The sequence below is a fragment of the Homo sapiens genome, chromosome 2, assembly GCF_000001405.40.
Source record: "Homo sapiens chromosome 2, GRCh38.p14 Primary Assembly".
In the NCBI taxonomy this organism is placed as follows: domain Eukaryota; kingdom Metazoa; phylum Chordata; class Mammalia; order Primates; family Hominidae; genus Homo; species Homo sapiens.
Window position 1 is genome coordinate 28,736,244 of NC_000002.12, and position 17,011 is coordinate 28,753,254.

Consider the following 17,011-nt stretch of genomic DNA (forward strand, 5'->3'; position numbering starts at 1 on the left):
TGCCTACCGGATCCAAAGTGTCTACTTGGCTCCACCCCATTTCACTCGTGTGCCAGTTTCTGCTAAACATAGCCCAGCTCCCAGCTGGCAAGGCTCTGAACTATTTTTAGCTGGGTCCAGGGCTCAGGCCAAGAGATCTAGATAGGTAGCTGAGATTCAGCTCTAGTGTTTTAAAAATAATAACCTTTATTGTTTTTCTTCTCATTATAATTTATGTTTCAGTTTAGACTTTTGGAAATATAGCCGAGAAAAAGGTGTGACCATTTAGAAAACAGCAAAAAGAAGAAAATTAAAATTTTCTGTAATACTCTTTATCAAAGTATAATATATACAGCAATGTGCACCAATCTTAAATATACATTTTGGTACACTTTTATGTAATTATATTCTTGTTTAACTGCCACTTTGATCAATATGAAGAAGACTCCACATAGTGGGACACCATCTCTACAAAAAATTTAAAAATTAGCCGGGCATGGTGGCACACACCTATGGTCCCAGCTACTTAGGAGGCTGAGATGGGAAGATCACTTGAGTCCGGGAGGTGGAGGTTGCACTGAGCCATGTTCACGCCACTTCCCTTCAGCCTGGGTGACAGAGCAAGATCATATCTTAAAACAAAACAAACAAACAAAAAGACAAAAAGAAAAACAGGACATTCCAGCACTCCAAAAAGTTCTCATTCGTCCCTTCCCAGCCAATATCCCTATGACCCAGAGATAAACCCTATTCTGACTTATATCACTTTTGATTAGTTTTACCTATTTTGAATTTCATAAAAATGAAATCATATGTACTTTTTTTTGAAAAAGGGTCTCACTCTATTGTCCAGGCTGGAATGCAGTGGCATGATCACAGCTCACTGCAGCTTCAACCTCCCTGGTTTGGGTAGCTGAGACCATAGGTACATGCCAACATGCCTGGCTAAATTTTTTTATTTTACTTTTGGTATAGATGGGGTCTCACAATGTTGTCCAGGCTGGTCTTGAACTCCTGGGCTTAAGCAAACCTCCCACCTTGGCCTCCCAAAGTACAGGATTACAGATGCAAGCCACCGTTCCCAGCCCATATATACTTTTTAAGTCTGTCTTTGTTCACTCATAATGTCTGTGGGGTTTATCCATGTTGTTACATGTAGTAGTAGATGGTTTTTTTGTCTGTTTTTACTGTGTAAAATTCTACCACATGAATACACTATAATTTATTAGTTCCCCACTGAGACTTATTTGGCTTATTTCCAAAGTTTGGTTATTAAAAATAAAACTGTCATGAACATTTTGTCCACATATTTTAATGGTCATATGCATTCATTTTTGGGGGTATATACCTAGGAGTGGAAGTGCTAAACCACAGAGAAAGCTTCGATCTAGCTTTCATAGATGTGCCAGTTTTCCAAAGTGGTTGCACCATTTTACAGTCCCACCAGCAATGTGTAGAAGTTCTAATTGCTCTATATCCTCATCAACACTTGATATCATCAGTCTTTTTAATTTTAGCCATTGTGGAGAGTGTGGGTTGGTATCTCATTGTGATTTGCATTTGCATTTGCCTGGTGACTAATGATGTCTTAAGTACCTTTTTCACATACTTACTAGATATTTGGACATCCTCTTCTGTGAAATGCTTGTTCAAGTGTTTTGCCCATTTTATAATTGGGTTGTCTGTCTTTTCCTTATTGGTTTATAGAATTTAAATTCTTCATTGGAGAGAGAAAGAGAGAGGTGGATTGCAAATACTTTCTCTCAGTCTGTGACTTGCCCTTTCGAAAAAGTTCTTATTTTTAATGAATCCAATTATCAATCTTTCCTTTTATGGTTAGTTTTTTTGTTTGTTTGTTTTTGGTTTTTGTACCTTGTTTAAGAAATCTGGCTGGGTGTCATGGCTCACGCCTGTAATCCTAGCACTTTGGGAGGCCGAGGCAGGCAGATCATTTGAGGTCAGGAGTTCAAAACCAGCCTGGCCAACATGGTGAAACCCCGTCTCTACTAAAAATACAAAAATTAGCTGGGTGTGGTGGCAGGCACCTGTAATCCCAACTGCCCAGGAGGCTGAGGCAGGAGAATCGCTTGAACCTGGGAGGCGGAGGTTGCAGTGAGCCGAGATCACACTACTGCACTCCATCCTGGGCAATAGAGACTCCATCTCAAAAAAAAAAAAGAAAAAAGAAATCTTTGACTGCCATAAAGTCATGAAGATATTCTTCCATGTATTCTTCAGAAGCTTTATTGTTTTGCCATTTAGGTCTATGATCCATCTCAAGTTAATTTTTCACATATGGTATGAAAAAAGGCCAAAGCTCATTATTTTTTTATAAGACTATCCAATTACTCCAGAATCATTTATTGAAAAGACCATCTTTTCCCCACTATATATATGTGAGTCTATTTCTGAACTCTATACTCTCTTCTATTGATTTGTCTGTTCTCGTACTAATATCACACTGTCTTAATTACTGTAATTTCATATTAAATTTTAAAATCTGATAGTATAATCCACCAACTTTGTTCTTTCTCTTCAAGATGGTCTTGTCTATTTTAGATCTTTTGCGGTTCTATATACATTTAAGAGTCAACTTGTCAATTTGGGGGTTTTGGGGGGGTTGTTTTGTTTTTGTTCTTTGTTGTTTTTTTTTTTTTTTGAGATGGAGTCTCACTCTGCTGCCCAGGCTGGAGTGCAGTGGCGTGACTTTGGCTCACTGTAACCTCCACCTTCTAGATTCAAACGATTCTCCTGCCTCAGCCTCCCCAGTAGCTGGGATTATAGGTGCCTGCCACCATGCCCAGCTAATTTTTGTATTTTTAGTAGAGATGAGGTTTCACCATGTTGGCCCAGCTGGTCTCGAACTCCTGACCTCAGGTGATCTACCCACCTCAGCCTCCCGAAGTGCTGGGATTACAGGCATGAGCCGCCACGCCTGGTCTGGAGCCTTCTCCATTTTAGCGGGAAAGAATAGACCATATTCATTTATTCCATGAAGTTTGGATTGTGAAAATTGAAGGAGAATCTCAAACTTGAAAAACTAACAAGGAAAGATATCTTGGAATCATCTTGGACTCATCATTCTCCTTTGTCCCCCTGTGAATCCTGGGCCACCAACTTCTGGCAATCCCAGCTCAAAGGCAACTCTAGATGCTTCCTCTTCTTCATTCCCATCACTGTGGAGTAGCCTGGGTCAGCCCATTCCTGCCAAACCTGGTCTGATACCAGGCGAAGAATATACTGTTCTTCGCTCATTCTGCTGTTTCTCTGATGAAACATTTTGAGAAGGGATTCTTTAGGATTTTCTAAGGCAATGGCTTCCTAAGCAGTCGTGCTGCTTCCACTCATTTCCATCACCTTCTGCTGTCAACCTTCTTGTGGCTCCCAACACACTCCAAATGTAATCCAGTGTCCTTGACACAGCTCGCTCCATCTGGCCCTTCTCTACTTCTGACCTCTTCTTCTATTCCTCCAACCTTTCTACCTAATTGCTGTTCTTCATCTATGCCAAGCATGTTTCCAGCTGGGGACCTTTACAAGGTGGTTATTTTTCCTGGAAATAATCACCCCTTCCTGAACCCACTCTCGGATATTTACATGGCCCACATTCTCATTTTTTTGCAGATTGCTGCTTATTTATTTACTTATTTATTTATTTTCAGATGGAGTCTTGCTCTGTTGCCCAGGCTGGAGTGCCATGGCTTGATCTGGCTCACTGCAACCTCCACTTCCCAGGTTCCAGCGATTCTCCTGCCTCCGCCTACCGAGTAGCTGGGACTAAAGGTGCCCACCACCTTACCCCACCAATTTTTGTATTTTTAGTAGAGACAGGGTTTCACCATGTTGGCCAGGCTGGTCTTGAACTCCTGACCTCAAGTGATCCACCTGCCTTGCCTCCCAAAGTGCTGGGATTACAGGTGTGAGCCACTGTGCCCAGCCAGATTGCTGCTCATGTGTCACTTCCTCAGAGAGATCTTCCATGACAACCCTGTTTAAAGCAGCATTCTTCTCCATCCCAACCTCTTACCCTGCTTCATTTTTCTTCCTAGCCTTCAGCACTACACACACACACACACACACACACACACACACACACACACACACACTCTCTCCTAGAGACTCTCCTAGAGAACCAATGATTCTGGTTTACCCAGGGGGTTCCTGGGCAGAATTTGAGTGCTAAAAGCAGGAATGTCCCAGGCAAACTGGAATGGATTGGTCACTTCTCCCCTCCTATCAGAATATAAGTTTTATGAGGGAAAGAGCTTTATTTCATTCTCCACTTTCTCCCCAGCACATGACACAGTGCCTGGCACAGAGTAGGTGCTCATAAATATTTATTGAACAAATGAATGCATGAATAATTTCTTATTTCAAACAACATCTGGATTAAACTCTCTGACCTAGCATTCCAATTTCTTCTTGACTTCCCCATCTTAATACCCCACCCTATTTCCTACCACTTCCTCTGATGCACCCTCTGCTCCAGGGACCCCAGTCTCCTCTCTTTCACAATCCCTTCACATGAAGAGCCCTCCCCTATCTCTTCTAGCTGAATCAGTCTCTTTCACATCTTTTATTTTTTGAAATCTTTATCAGTGAAAAGGCCTAAGGGATGAATGGGTCCCTATCAGAATTCCCTTGAATATTGTTACAAAATATATCCTCCTCCACTCCCAATGCTGAGAAATAGTTATGATGTTCTTGGGGAAGGAGGAGAAATTAAACACTGATATTTTGAAAAAGTTCCCTAGGTGATTCTGACAACAAACATGCAGCTACTTCAATCAAAAATCACTTATCTAGTCCATCAATGGATGAATGGAAAAAGAAAATGTGGTATATATTCTGCAAAGGAATACTATTCAGCCATAAAAAAGAATGAAATATGGTCATTTGCAGAAACATGGATGAAACTATAGGTCATTATGTTAAGTGAACTAAGTCAGAAGACAGAAAAGACAAATATTGAATGTTCTCACTCATACGTGGGAGCTAAAAAAGTTGATCTCAGGGAGGCAGAGAGTAGAATTATGGTAGCTAGAGGCTAGAAAGGGTTGGGGGGATGGTGTTGAAGAGAAGTTGGTTAATGGGTACAAATGCACAGTTAGAAGGAATAAATTGTAGTGTTCAATAGCATAGTAAATGACTATAGTTAACAACAATATACTATACACTTCAAAATAGCTAGAGGAGAAGATTTGAAATGTTCCCAACACAAAGAAATGAAAGGTTTCAGGTGATATATATTCTAAACACCCTGGCTCGATCATCACACATTGTATTCACGCATCAAAATATCACACATACCCCATAAATATACAAGTGTTATGTATCAAGAAAGCCACCAATCCAAATCCCATAATATTTCACAACCCAGTTCAAATCCTTTAGTGGCATCACTGCTATTAAGACTTTGCCTGACCTCATTGCCTCCCCCTCTTTGGGATTCTAAAAAGCTTAGGATCTGAACCACACCTCTTAGCACTGGTCATACAGGTCTGGCATAGAAATGTGGACAAAATTTCTCCAGCTTTGTTTTTTGCTTAGGATTGCTTTAGCTATTCTTTATAGGTTCCATATAAATTTTAAAATAATTTTTTCTAGTCCTGTGAAGAATATTGTTGGTAGTTTGATAGAAATAGCATTGAATCTGTACATTGCTTTGGGCAGTATAGCCATTTCAATGATATTGGTTCTTCCTATCCATGAGCATGGGATGTTTTTCCACTTGTTTGTGTCTTCTCTGATTTCTTTGAGCAGTGTTTTGTAATTCTCATTGTAGAGATCTTTCACCTCCCTGGTTAGCTGCATTCTTAGGTATTTTATTTTTTGTGTGGCAATTGTGAACGGGATTACCTTTCTGATTTGGCTTTCAGTTTGATTGCCGTTGGTGTATAGGAATGCTAGTAATTTTTGTACGTTGATTTTGTATCCTGCAACTTTGCTGAAGTTGTTTATCAGCTGAAGGAGCTTTTGGGCTGAGACTATGGGGCTTTGTAGATATAGAATCATGTTGTGTTCAGAGATAGTTTGACTTCCTCTCTTCCTATTTGGATACCCTTTATTTCTTTCTCTCGCCTGATTGCTCTGGCTAGGACTTCCAATACTATGTTGAATAGAAGTGGTGAGAGAGGCCATCTTTGTCTTGTGCCGGCTTTCAGGGGGAATGCTTCCAGCTTTTGTCTATTCAGTATAATGTTGGCTGTGGGTTTGTCATAGATGGCTCTTATTATTTTGAGGTATGATGTTCCTTCAATACCTAGTTTATCAAGAGTTTTTAACATGAACTGAGGTTAAATTTTATCAAAAGCCTTTTCTACATCTATTGAAAGAATCATGTGGTTTTGTCTTTAGTTTTGTTTATGTGATGAATCACATTTATTGATTTTTATATGTTGAACCAAACTTGTTTCCTGGAGATGAAGCCTACTTGATCATGGTGGATTAGCTTTTTGATGTGCTGCTGGATTTGGTTTCAAACTATACTACAAGGCTACAGTGACCAAAAGAGCATGGTACTGGTACAAAAACAGGCACATAGACCAATGGAACAGAATAGAGGCCAGGTGCAGTGGCTCATGCCTGTAATCCAGTGCTTTGGGAGGCCAAGGCGGATGGATCATGAGGTCAGGAGTTTGAGACTGAGTTTCGAGTTTCAGCCTGACCAACATGGTGAAACCCCATCTCTACTAAAAATACAAAGAAACATTAGCCTGGCGTGGTGGCACGTGCCTGTAATCTCAGCTACTCAGGAGGCTGAGGCAGGAGAATCGCTTGAACCCAGGAGGCGGAGGTTGCAGTGAGCAGAGATCGCACCACTGCACTCCGGCCTGGGTGACAGAGGGAGACTCTGTCTCAAAAAAATAAAAATAAATAAAAATAAATAAATAAATAAATAAAATAATAGAGAGCCCAGAAATAAGGCCACGCATCTACAACCATCTGATCTTTGACAAAGCTGACAAAAAAACAAGCAATGGGGAAAAGACCTCCTACTCAATAAATGGTGCTGGGATAACTGGCTAGCCATATGCAGAAGACTGAAGCTGGACCTCTTCCTTACATCATATGCAAAAATCAACTCAAGATAGATTCAAGACTTATATGCAAAACCCCAAACTATAAAAACCCTGGAAGAGAATCTAGGCAATATTATCCTGGACATAGGAATGGGCGAATATTTCATGACAAAGACACCAAAAGCAATCGCGACAAAAGCAAAAGTCGACAAATGAGAGCTAATTAAACTTAAGAGCTTCTGCACAGCAAAAGAAACTATCAACAGAGTAAACAGACAACCTGCAGAATGGGAGAAAATATTTGCAAACTATGCATCTGATAAAGGTCTAATATCCAGCATCTATAAGGATCTTAAATTTATAAGAGAAAAACAACCCCATTAAAAAGTGTGCAAAGGACATGAACATCTAGACACTTCTCAAAAGAAGACATACATGTGGCCAAGAAGCATAAGAGAAAAAGCTCAATATCACTGATCATTGGGGAAATGCAAATCAAAACCACAATGAGATACCACCTCATACCCGTCAGAACGGCTATTACCAAAAAGTCAAAAAATAACAGATGCTGGTACGGTTGCGCAGAAAAGGGAACCCTTACACACTGTTGGTGGGAGTGTAAATTTATTCAACCATTGTGGAAAGCAGTATGGTGATTCCTCAAAGAGTTAAAAGCAGACTCCAGCAATCCCATTACTGAGTGTATACCCAGAGGAATATAAAGCATTCTACCATAAAGACACTTGCATGTGAATGTTTATTGCAGCACTGTTCACAATAGCAAAGACATGGAATCAACCTAAATGCCCATCAATGACAGACTGGATAAAGAAAATGTGGTACATATACCCCATGGAATATTATGCAGCCATAAAAGAAGAAGATCAAGCCAGGTGTGGTGGTTCACGCCTGTAATCCCAACACTTTGGGAGGCCAAGGCAAGTGGATCATCTTAAATCAGGAGTTCGAGACCAGCCTGGCCAACATGGCAAAACCTTGTCTCTACTAAAAACACAAAAATTAGCCGGGCGTGGTGGCGGATGCCTGTAATCCCAGCTACTCAGGAGGCTGAGGCAGGAGAATCACTTGAACCCAGGAGGTGGGGATCGCAGCGGGCCGAGATCATGGCACTACACTCCAGCCTAAGCAACAGAAGGAGACTCTGTCTCAAAAACAAACTAACAACTACAACAAAAAAAACAAGATCATGTCTTTTGAGGGAACATGGATGCATGGATGGAGCTGGAGGCTACCATCCTTAGCAAACTAATTCAGAAACAGAAAACCAAATATCACATGTTCTTACTTATAAGTGGGAGCTAAATGATAAGAACTTACGAATACAAAAAAGAAAACAAGCACTAAGGTCTACTTGAGGCGGGAGGGTGGGAGGAGGGAGAGAAGCAGAAAAGAGAATTAGTGGGTACTGAACTTAATACCTGGGTGATGTAATATATGTACAACAAACCCTGATGACATGTGTTTATCTATGTAACAAACCCTCACATGTACCACCAAACCGAAAATAAAAATTTTTAAAAAAGGAATGTGGACAAAAGAGAGTTGCTTATTGTGAATGTCTGTCTGGCCAAGAAGCCCCTCAGATGTGCAGGGAAGGCATTCCCTACCTTTCTCCTGGAGGTAGCTGGGGATGACCTCTCCTTCTCATTCCTGAAGACTGTCTCGCTGCCAGAACCACCCATATTCTGCTCCTCCTCACCCAAAATTTTCCTGCTGTAAGTTGACAATCCTTGCCATCAAGTTACATCCGCTGCCCCACCCCATCGCCACTCACTTTTTCTCACAACAGAGTCCCAGAGCTAGTCCACCTAACTAGCCCAGCATCTCTAAATCACACTGCCTGGGTATTCCAGCCAGGGCTTTAGAATTGGACTGACCTGGTGCCTAAAGACAAGTCAAAGCCTCTGAGTCTTGATTCATTCCCACATCTATAAAAGGGAAACTACTTACTTCACAGGATTTTCTGAGGGATTAATTGTGATCATGTCAGTAAAAATTCCCAGCACATGGTACACTTATGAACCTCCAGCCAGGAACCTTTCTGACAAAGGAGCAATGCCTGTCACCTGGGCATGGGGACATTGGATCTCCCAGCCAAGCTGGGCTCTGTCTTAATAGGAATGTCACTACTAGAAGTACCTAAATGTTCTTAGAGCTTGGGATCACTCAATCACATTCTCTGGGTGGTTTGTTAAAACCTGGACTGGACTATGAGGAGCGAGAGCAACCTTTTTTTAGCAACAATAAAGTCATTCTTTGAGGTGACTGCACCGTTAAAACACACAGGGGCAAAACAGAAAAATGCTGTGCTCATTGCTGAGCAGGTTGCCCTGAAAAGTAGAGAATGAAAAATAGGAATAACGGTGGGCATGGGGACCCTGGGTTCTAGGGTGCTCTTGTGCAGGAAGGAGAGGGGACAAAAAGAGTAGGCTCTTGCACAGTATGAAGGCTTTCGAGTAAAAATCTGAAGGAGATGGAGAGATTGAGATTCAAGTCCTCGTTTTGCTAGTAAATCAATGCAATTTAACTTTGTTTTTGTTTTCTAGAGACAGGTATTGCTCTGTCACCCAGGCTGGAGTACAGTGGCATGATCATAGCTCAACACATCCTCAACCTCCTATGCTCAAGGGATCCTCCTGCCTCAGTCTCCAGAGTAGCTAGGACTACAGGTGCATACCACAGGGACTGGCCAAGTTTGAATTTTTTTAGTAGAGATGAAGCCTTGCTATGTTGCCCAGACTGGTCTTGAACTCCTGGGATCACGCAAGCCTTCTGCCTCGGCTTCCCAAAGTGCTGGGATTACACGCATGAGTCACCAAGCCCAGCCATAATTTAACCTTTCTAGATCACAACTTCCTCAATCGCAAAGTGAGATTAAAAGTAATTGTATCTTTTTTAAAAAAAGTTCCCAGCACAATATATTTACTCCCTTTCTTCCTTCTGCCTTCACATTCCCTATCCTTTGGTTTGGGAGCCAGCTCCTTCCTGGCAACCAAACCCCAAGATGTCATGAACTGTGCTCAGCCCACCATGCCCTGCCCCCACTCCCCCCCGCCCCCCAAGGATTCAAAGGTATCAGAGCATCCCTTGCCCTCTATGCTGCCAGCCCAGCCTTTGTCTCCCATATAGGGTCCAGGTCTGTCTGTAAATTGGAACTAGACTTGTCTTCACGTCTATTGCTCAGGGTAGTAGAAAACACTGAGAGATGTTTTCTGCCATGCCAAATAGGAATCCTCAATAAATATTCCCCATAAACTCTGTTATAATTGGTGGCTAGAGTCTATATTGCCATGGACACTCTTCTATAGTTACATTAAGGACTAAATTGATTTTGCAGACTGATCTGAGAGTTTAACCACCATTTGTACCACAGTCTCTGTGGGAAAATATATTCCATGTTCCGAACAATTGACCCTTTGGAGTTGGTCCAGTTCCTGAGCTGGGGACGGCATGTACAATATTATGTTACATTTTGGGTTTTATTTGTATGTCTTAGAATCAGAGACTTGTTTGAGCTAGAAGAAGCTTTGGAAATCATTTATTAATGGGCACATTTTGTAGGTAATGAATCCAAGGTTCAGAAAGATTGAATTGTCTAAGGTTATTCAGCTGCTTTGTTCTCCCACCTCCAAGCCAATGCTTTTCCCACTATCCAAGTCATTTTGTGGTCATTTTCCCACATAGTCATTAAACAACTTGAAAGTTGGGAAGTCATGCCTTCTTCAACACAGACTCAAACTCACTAAGTGTTTCATAAATACTTAATTGGTTCATTATTCTTTTTGCTTCAGAGGTCTATTCACTGTAAGGTTTTCTTAAATAACAAGTACCATAGAGCATTTCAATTAAGAACTTATTATGATAGACTGGATTTGGTTTAAATCAAGATTTAAATAATAATTAATAAATATTCTATTTAACCAGTGTTTCCTATATAAAAGACCTATTGGTGTTGGATGTAACTCTGATGAATATATTTCACAGCTCACAAATAGTTTGGCTTTAGTTTTAACAGACATATGCTATTAATTTTAATGTGGTCTTATATATTATGAGAAGCTACTCATTTTATAACTACATAAAAAAAGTAATGCTTTCCTTGTCTTATCTACCAAAACCCAATTGAAACAGAGACATAAAAACCAGTTAGGGCCAGGTGCGGTGGCTCATGCCTGTAATCCCAGCACTTTGGGAGGCCGAGGTGGGAGGATTGCTTGAGCCCAGGAGTTCGAGACCAGCCTGACACAGCGAGACCCTGTCTCTACTAAAAATAAAAAAAAATAGCCGGGCATGGTGGCACATGCCTATGGTCTCAGCTACTACGGAGGCTGAGGCAGAAGGATTGCTTGAGCCTGAGATGTCAAAGCTGCAGTTAGCTGTGAATGAGCCACTGTATTCCAGCCTGAGTGAGGCTCTGTCTCAAAAAAAGAAAAAAAATTAAGCCATTTAGCGGTAAACCTCCAACTGAAAAGGTGAATTATATGTGATTTGGATATACTACAGGAGAAACAGAGCAACAAGAAACAAAACATTTACAGTACACTGTTTCATTTGAAACAAATATTCACATATTGTATACTTTCCCTCATCAAACAGTTATTTCCTGGTATCCATTTCAGTGAGCAGGATGGGGGGAGGGGGGAGCAATAAAAGAGAAACATTCTTACCTGTGTAGATGACTTGCTTTTATTGTAACAAAGGCAACTGGCCCTGTAATCTAATTACAAGAAAAAAAGGCCACAGATAAACTCTTCAACAATTAAATAGTCATTACTTGTGGTAGCTGTTCACCTAGCTTTAATTGCCTTATAGTTAACAGTTCTAAATAGCCAGTTAACTCCTTCAATTACTAGACATTTATTTTTCAATCACTTTATCTTGAAAGATACGGATGTACTATGGAGTTAGCTTAAGACAAACTGAGAGAGAGAGAAGAGAGAGTTGGTTGGGGCCACCGGGGAGGTTACTGACCAAGGGCAGGGAAGGAGGCATTTATTTATATTTGCCTTATAATTCTGGGGGACTAAACTGGCTGAGGACATGCCTTATGGCTTAGCTATAATTTTGGCTATTCTCATATGTATAATGAAATGAAACCAAAACTAAATCTTAAGAACAAATCTTGGCCCTGCCTGGCTGTACCACCTAGGCCTGGCTCTGTATTGAGAGAGGTGGCCTCCTAATGATGCATATATGTCCTTGTCTGGTTTTCCAATTTTCTTGAATTGAGCTGACTATAAAAGCTTAATGCATGCGATATAAAGAATGGCTGACCTCCAGATACAACTAGTAAAATTTCAACTTACCACTACTTAAGACTTATTAAACACTTGATTGAGAAGAATCATATTTATGGAAGGACAGCCCAATGAATGTTGATTCATTCATTTAAAAGTCATCTTGGATTAAGCCAGAGCAGCAAAAAACTATATATCACCCCCTCCACATTTTGCTACCTAAACTTACTCACTTTCACACCAGATTGGCTACTGGCTAATACTGACAGGCATATAAGAAAAACATCCCTATGAAAGTCTTTGCTGCGTTTACTAACCGGAGTCACCAGGCTGCTGTTTACTGTGTTCCGAAATGCCTTCTCTAAGGACTATCCATAGAGACAGCTCTCTGGTCTCAATTCAGAGATGGTTGGGTTCCTCTGAGCACTGGTTTGCCTTTATCTGATAGGCACAGACATTATCTATTAGTAAAAATAAAATAATAATTTTATTAAGACCCCTAAATCATGATGCCCAAACCCCTTGCAATCAGGAAGTCTAGATAAATAACAGGAGTTTCCCTTCATAGAGATTTCTGGAATTACCCAAGGATATTAACATGCATGACCCAGATGCCTCCCTAAGCCTTATGGTGTGCTGGCAAATGTTTAACAACCATTATTCAGAAATAAGACAGGAAAACTGCCATCTATGACTGGTAAGATTATAGGTGATTTTTGTATTTTTTTTCTTCATTTTCCCAACTTCCTTCAGGAAACACATTTTACTCTGAAGGGGGTGAGGGTGGTGGCTAATACTTGGGATTATGGTGAGCTGCCCTAGAAACTATCGGGTTATTAAGTAACACTTAATATATGTACCAGTTTCACTTCAAAATCTGAAGCATTCTGAACTCTTAATTATTTTGGAGGGATATCCCACAGAAAAGTTGGCTGAGGCCCTAGTGATAAAGCTCTTTCTTACAGTGGCCCATTCCTGCCCAAGACTCCAGGCACTGGAAAACCTGGTGGGGGTGGAGAAGGTAACATCAGCAGGCAAGTACTCGGAACCACTCTCCTATCTCCTACCTCTTCTTCTCACGACCTCCAAAACTCTGCTGAGACCGGCCTCCCTCTGCCTCACTTGTGGTGATTTTCTCTCGGATGCTCACTTTCTCTCTGTGCAATCTTTCCTTTGGGTGTCCCTTGTCTTTAAACATGTCTGCGTATACCTGAACTCTAATTGTGGACAGGGTTCAAAGTTCTTTTTCATGGGATTCATGGGCCCCATGAAAATTAGAGGCTAAGTAGGCATCTAAGTAGGAGCATTTACGTGCTCCCAGGCATTCTGTTACACTTAAAGAGGCTCATGGAAGAGATTTGGGCAAGTGGTATAACTCTACAAGCTGCTATATTCAAGTCCTAGTTCCAGCTTAGCCAAAACACCTACTCCGATTGCAACTGATCTTTTTCTTGGTTGCTAGAAAACTGAGAGTCATATGTGTGGCCTACCTCCAGCAAACCAATAGGACCTTACACCATGCATTTTGCATACAAAACTGCTGGCTTAATCTTATCTTTCACACTCACGGTTTTCTTTTGTCCTATTTTTCTCTGTACTTATTTTTAATTTACCCTGATGTACACATTTATGTAAACTACGTTAAATCCTTTCCTCTGGAATAAAGTAGGGTGTAAATAAATTTAACAAAACAACAAAGAGTGATGATGAGCCAGGTCTTCACTCCTGAAGGCCTCAAAACGAACTGGCAGTGATCTGTGAAAACTACAGAGAACTGCCCGTTCATCTCCACAGATTACTGAAGTCTGTGAAAACTACTCCAGCCAGGACCACCATTATAGCCTGCTGCCTGTTGTGTTCACAATCGATGCACAAACTCAACCCTGAAATGGAGAGAAAAATAGGGGAAAAAAGACATTAGGAAATCCTAGCTCTATGTCATCTGGACATTAGAAAGCACTTGGTTGGACAAAGCTTTTTCTCCCCCACAGCACATGCCTGTTTCAGCATCTCAGCCCACATTCACGGAGAGGGAGAATATAGCAATTGTTAAGAATGCAGACTCTAGCACTGCATGCTCTGCTGTTTATTTGTGTTATTTGGGCTAGGTTTTTTAACCGTCTGTGCCTCGGTGAATCCCATCTACAAAGTAGAGATAATAATAGTACCTACCTCACAGGGCAGTTGTAAGGATTAAATGAGGTAACCCGGGTGTAACATTTAAAACAGTGGCAGAGTACATACAGGGATCTGAACAAATGTTAGCTACTATTAGTGATATGTGAGTGGGGGAAGCACACTGCCTTGGACTTGAGGCAATATCAAGTCTGAGTTTCTGGAAAAACACTTGTGGAATAAGTAAGGGCTGGCCACCTCCTAAAACCGGACAAAAGATCTGGCTTGCCTAGATCCTTAGCGTGACTGCTTCTCCTCCTGCCTTTCTAGAGGCAGTATTACGTGATGGAAATACTTGGTGGGTGCTGTGGGCACAAAGATAAGTTAATGTGTTTTTATTCCCTAGGAGCTGAGTCGAGAGTAGGAGAAAAATGCATAAATAATTACCAGGTAGGATGATTAAGCAATATACTGGAGGCAGCAACAGAAACACACCGTGGAAAAAAAATACCCACGGCGTGGATGAAGATATGAGATGTGTGAAAGCGCTAGACACAGGCAGCCACCTGCACCCATGTAAAATTGGATTATTGCTGACTCCTACAAGGCCCACTTTAACGCTTCTTTCAACCAGAATCCCTGCAGAACTAATTTTGTAGAACCGCCGGGGATAAAGACCTTTATTTGCAATGTCGAACTCCAGCAGAGTAACCCCTTTTGCTTTCCACACGCGCAAACCCGGGTCCCAAACGCTGCAGTTCGCGTTTCCCGGCTAACGGAAGAAACACGAGGAACTGTTTGCAGATCTAGGGGATGAAGCCAAAAAACGGAAAGCGAGGCCGAAAGGGCGCAACCACCACGTCTGGAGGAGGCCAGTGAAGTAGAGAAAGGGGAAGGTCAGCCCTGCCCCAGCGCGCTCTGCGTAACCGGGACTTCCTCCGCGCGGCAAAGCCGGGGAACCTCCCTGGCGCCTGCGCCACCGTGGCGAGACTCGGCGCCGTGGACGTGGAGAGAGGGCGACGCACCTGCGCGAAGACGGCAGCGGGAGAAGCCGCTCCAGTGCGGTTGCGCGGCGGCCCAGGCGTCGAGGGGAGCCTCGGCGGGGAGCGCACCGCGCGCCTGCGCGGAGAGCTGCGTGACGCGGCGGCGCGCAAGGGACGTGCGGAGTGAGTGGCGCTGCGGGTGGGGCCGTCGGCGGCGCTGGTGAGCTTTGCGGAGCTGGGCGGTGCCGAGGAGGAGGAGGTGGCGGCCTGGGTCTGACGCGGCCCTGTTCGAGGGGGCCTCTCTTGTTTATTTATTTATTTTCCGTGGGTGCCTCCGAGTGTGCGCGCGCTCTCGCTACCCGGCGGGGAGGGGGTGGGGGGAGGGCCCGGGAAAAGGGGGAGTTGGAGCCGGGGTCGAAACGCCGCGTGACTTGTAGGTGAGAGAACGCCGAGCCGTCGCCGCAGCCTCCGCCGCCGAGAAGCCCTTGTTCCCGCTGCTGGGAAGGAGAGTCTGTGCCGACAAGATGGCGGACGGGGAGCTGAACGTGGACAGCCTCATCACCCGGCTGCTGGAGGGTGAGTGCGCGCCTGGCCGCGGGACAGAGGGAGGTCGGGCACCGCCGCCGACCCCTGCGTCCCCGTCTGCCGCCGGAACGCGAGGGGACCCCTTTCCCGCCCCGAGACGAGTCTCTGGGAGCGCGGCGCGGCGGACGAACCGAGGAGGGGGCGAGGAGGCTCTGGGCGCGGGGGAGCGGCCTCTGGGAGCGCGGTCAGGGGAGATCGGGGGAGAGGGGGCCGTTCCCGCGGACCCTCGGGGGCCAGGCCCGCCGGCCGAAGGCTGTGCGGAGCGGGTCTGCGGGAGACAGCCTTTCGGAAAGGCCGCCGGGCTCCGCGCGCCGTGGTGCTCGCCTCCGGTGACCCGAGGATGGGGAGAGGATGCCTGCCACTGGGCTTTGTGCGTCCGTGGAATCACTGTTCTTCTCTGTTCTCTTTGTGCATTGCCCTTGGCTGCCTCCGATTGTCGTTCCGGGAGTGAATTTTACGTATATATATATAAACCTGTCCTTAACAGGACTGCTTCGTCTGCTCTGCATTTTTACACAATGCTATATAGAATGGATTCTTCTTAAAGAGAGGATAAAATTAGCGGGAATTAATCTACCGTTTGTTACTTGGCCTAAAAAAATTGTAAGACAAGATATTTGATCAGGTTGAAGATGCACCTAAGAAATGTGATGTATGTAGATGGGTTTGCTGAAGGGATTGGCTTTTGCATTTGATTTGAGCAGAGCTTAATTTCTGCACAAACTTAGTGAAAATCTATTTTTAAAGCCTGTCTTGTATTCGAAAGGTATTTGTAGGTCTACGCAGCATTTGAACTTTCCGGGCTCAAGTGTTCTTATTGAATAGTTTTATGTTGGTGGGAAGGCAAGGGGGGAAAACGAAGAGGTGGACTAGCCGGGAGTTAAATGTATTGATTCATTGCAGGATATTATTCAAAGTTAAATGCAGTCTTCTGCCAAACAGTCCCTCTACCCTAAAGTTTTCGTCATCAATAATTGTTTTGTGAGTGTGTAGAAAAGCCTTTAATCCTTTTTAAACAATTTAGAGGCCTCTTTGTTAGCCGCCGTCCAGCGATTGCATATGTACTGTT

The 17,011-nt window shown here is 43.2% G+C and overlaps 1 protein-coding gene and 1 long non-coding RNA gene across 18 annotated transcripts in view, besides 6 other annotated features; one reads left to right on the plus strand and one right to left on the minus strand.

Moving 5' to 3' along the window:
- The window catches only part of PPP1CB-DT (PPP1CB divergent transcript), a 29,489-nt gene extending 13,976 nt beyond the window's left edge, over positions 1-15,513 (minus strand). For 6 of the 16 annotated variants that reach the window (XR_939896.3, XR_939886.3, XR_939893.3 and 3 more), the window contains exons 1-2: positions 12,577-15,256; positions 11,690-11,739 (exon numbers count right to left, since the gene is read on the minus strand). This is a non-coding gene — a long non-coding RNA (PPP1CB divergent transcript). Of the gene's footprint in view, positions 1-7,739; positions 8,144-8,629; positions 8,736-11,689; positions 11,740-12,576; positions 15,257-15,399 lie in introns of those variants that run through there. The other 10 variants (XR_007086258.1, XR_001739362.2, XR_007086260.1 and 7 more) reach the window with 8 other exon arrangements.
- Positions 12,009-12,088: an enhancer, noted in NCBI's record as "active region_15524". NCBI's record gives its function as "activates an Ori minimal core promoter by ATAC-STARR-seq in GM12878 lymphoblastoid cells {active_cell/tissue: GM12878}" and the evidence as "EXISTENCE:reporter gene assay evidence [ECO:0000049][PMID:35858748]".
- Positions 15,000-15,209: an enhancer, noted in NCBI's record as "active region_15525". NCBI's record gives its function as "activates an Ori minimal core promoter by ATAC-STARR-seq in GM12878 lymphoblastoid cells {active_cell/tissue: GM12878}" and the evidence as "EXISTENCE:reporter gene assay evidence [ECO:0000049][PMID:35858748]".
- Positions 15,340-15,529: a silencer, noted in NCBI's record as "silent region_11311". NCBI's record gives its function as "represses an Ori minimal core promoter by ATAC-STARR-seq in GM12878 lymphoblastoid cells {active_cell/tissue: GM12878}" and the evidence as "EXISTENCE:reporter gene assay evidence [ECO:0000049][PMID:35858748]".
- The window catches only part of PPP1CB (protein phosphatase 1 catalytic subunit beta), a 51,337-nt gene continuing 49,686 nt past the window's right edge, over positions 15,361-17,011 (plus strand). Inside the window, exons 1-2 of one of the 2 annotated variants that reach the window (NM_206876.2) lie at positions 15,361-15,577; positions 15,795-15,933. In NM_206876.2, coding sequence (NP_996759.1) covers positions 15,882-15,933 — 52 coding nt within the window. In that variant the 5' untranslated portion in view covers positions 15,361-15,577; positions 15,795-15,881. The other variant, NM_002709.3, reaches the window with a different exon arrangement.
- Positions 15,513-16,157: an enhancer, noted in NCBI's record as "NANOG-H3K27ac-H3K4me1 hESC enhancer chr2:28974622-28975266 (GRCh37/hg19 assembly coordinates)". NCBI's record gives its function as "activates a minimal SCP1, AML or CMV promoter by ChIP-STARR-seq in primed H9 embryonic stem cells {active_cell/tissue: H9 hESC(primed)}" and the evidence as "EXISTENCE:reporter gene assay evidence [ECO:0000049][PMID:30033119]".
- Positions 15,513-16,239: a biological region, named in NCBI's record as "NANOG-H3K27ac-H3K4me1 hESC enhancer GRCh37_chr2:28974622-28975266".
- Positions 16,020-16,239: a silencer, noted in NCBI's record as "silent region_11312". NCBI's record gives its function as "represses an Ori minimal core promoter by ATAC-STARR-seq in GM12878 lymphoblastoid cells {active_cell/tissue: GM12878}" and the evidence as "EXISTENCE:reporter gene assay evidence [ECO:0000049][PMID:35858748]".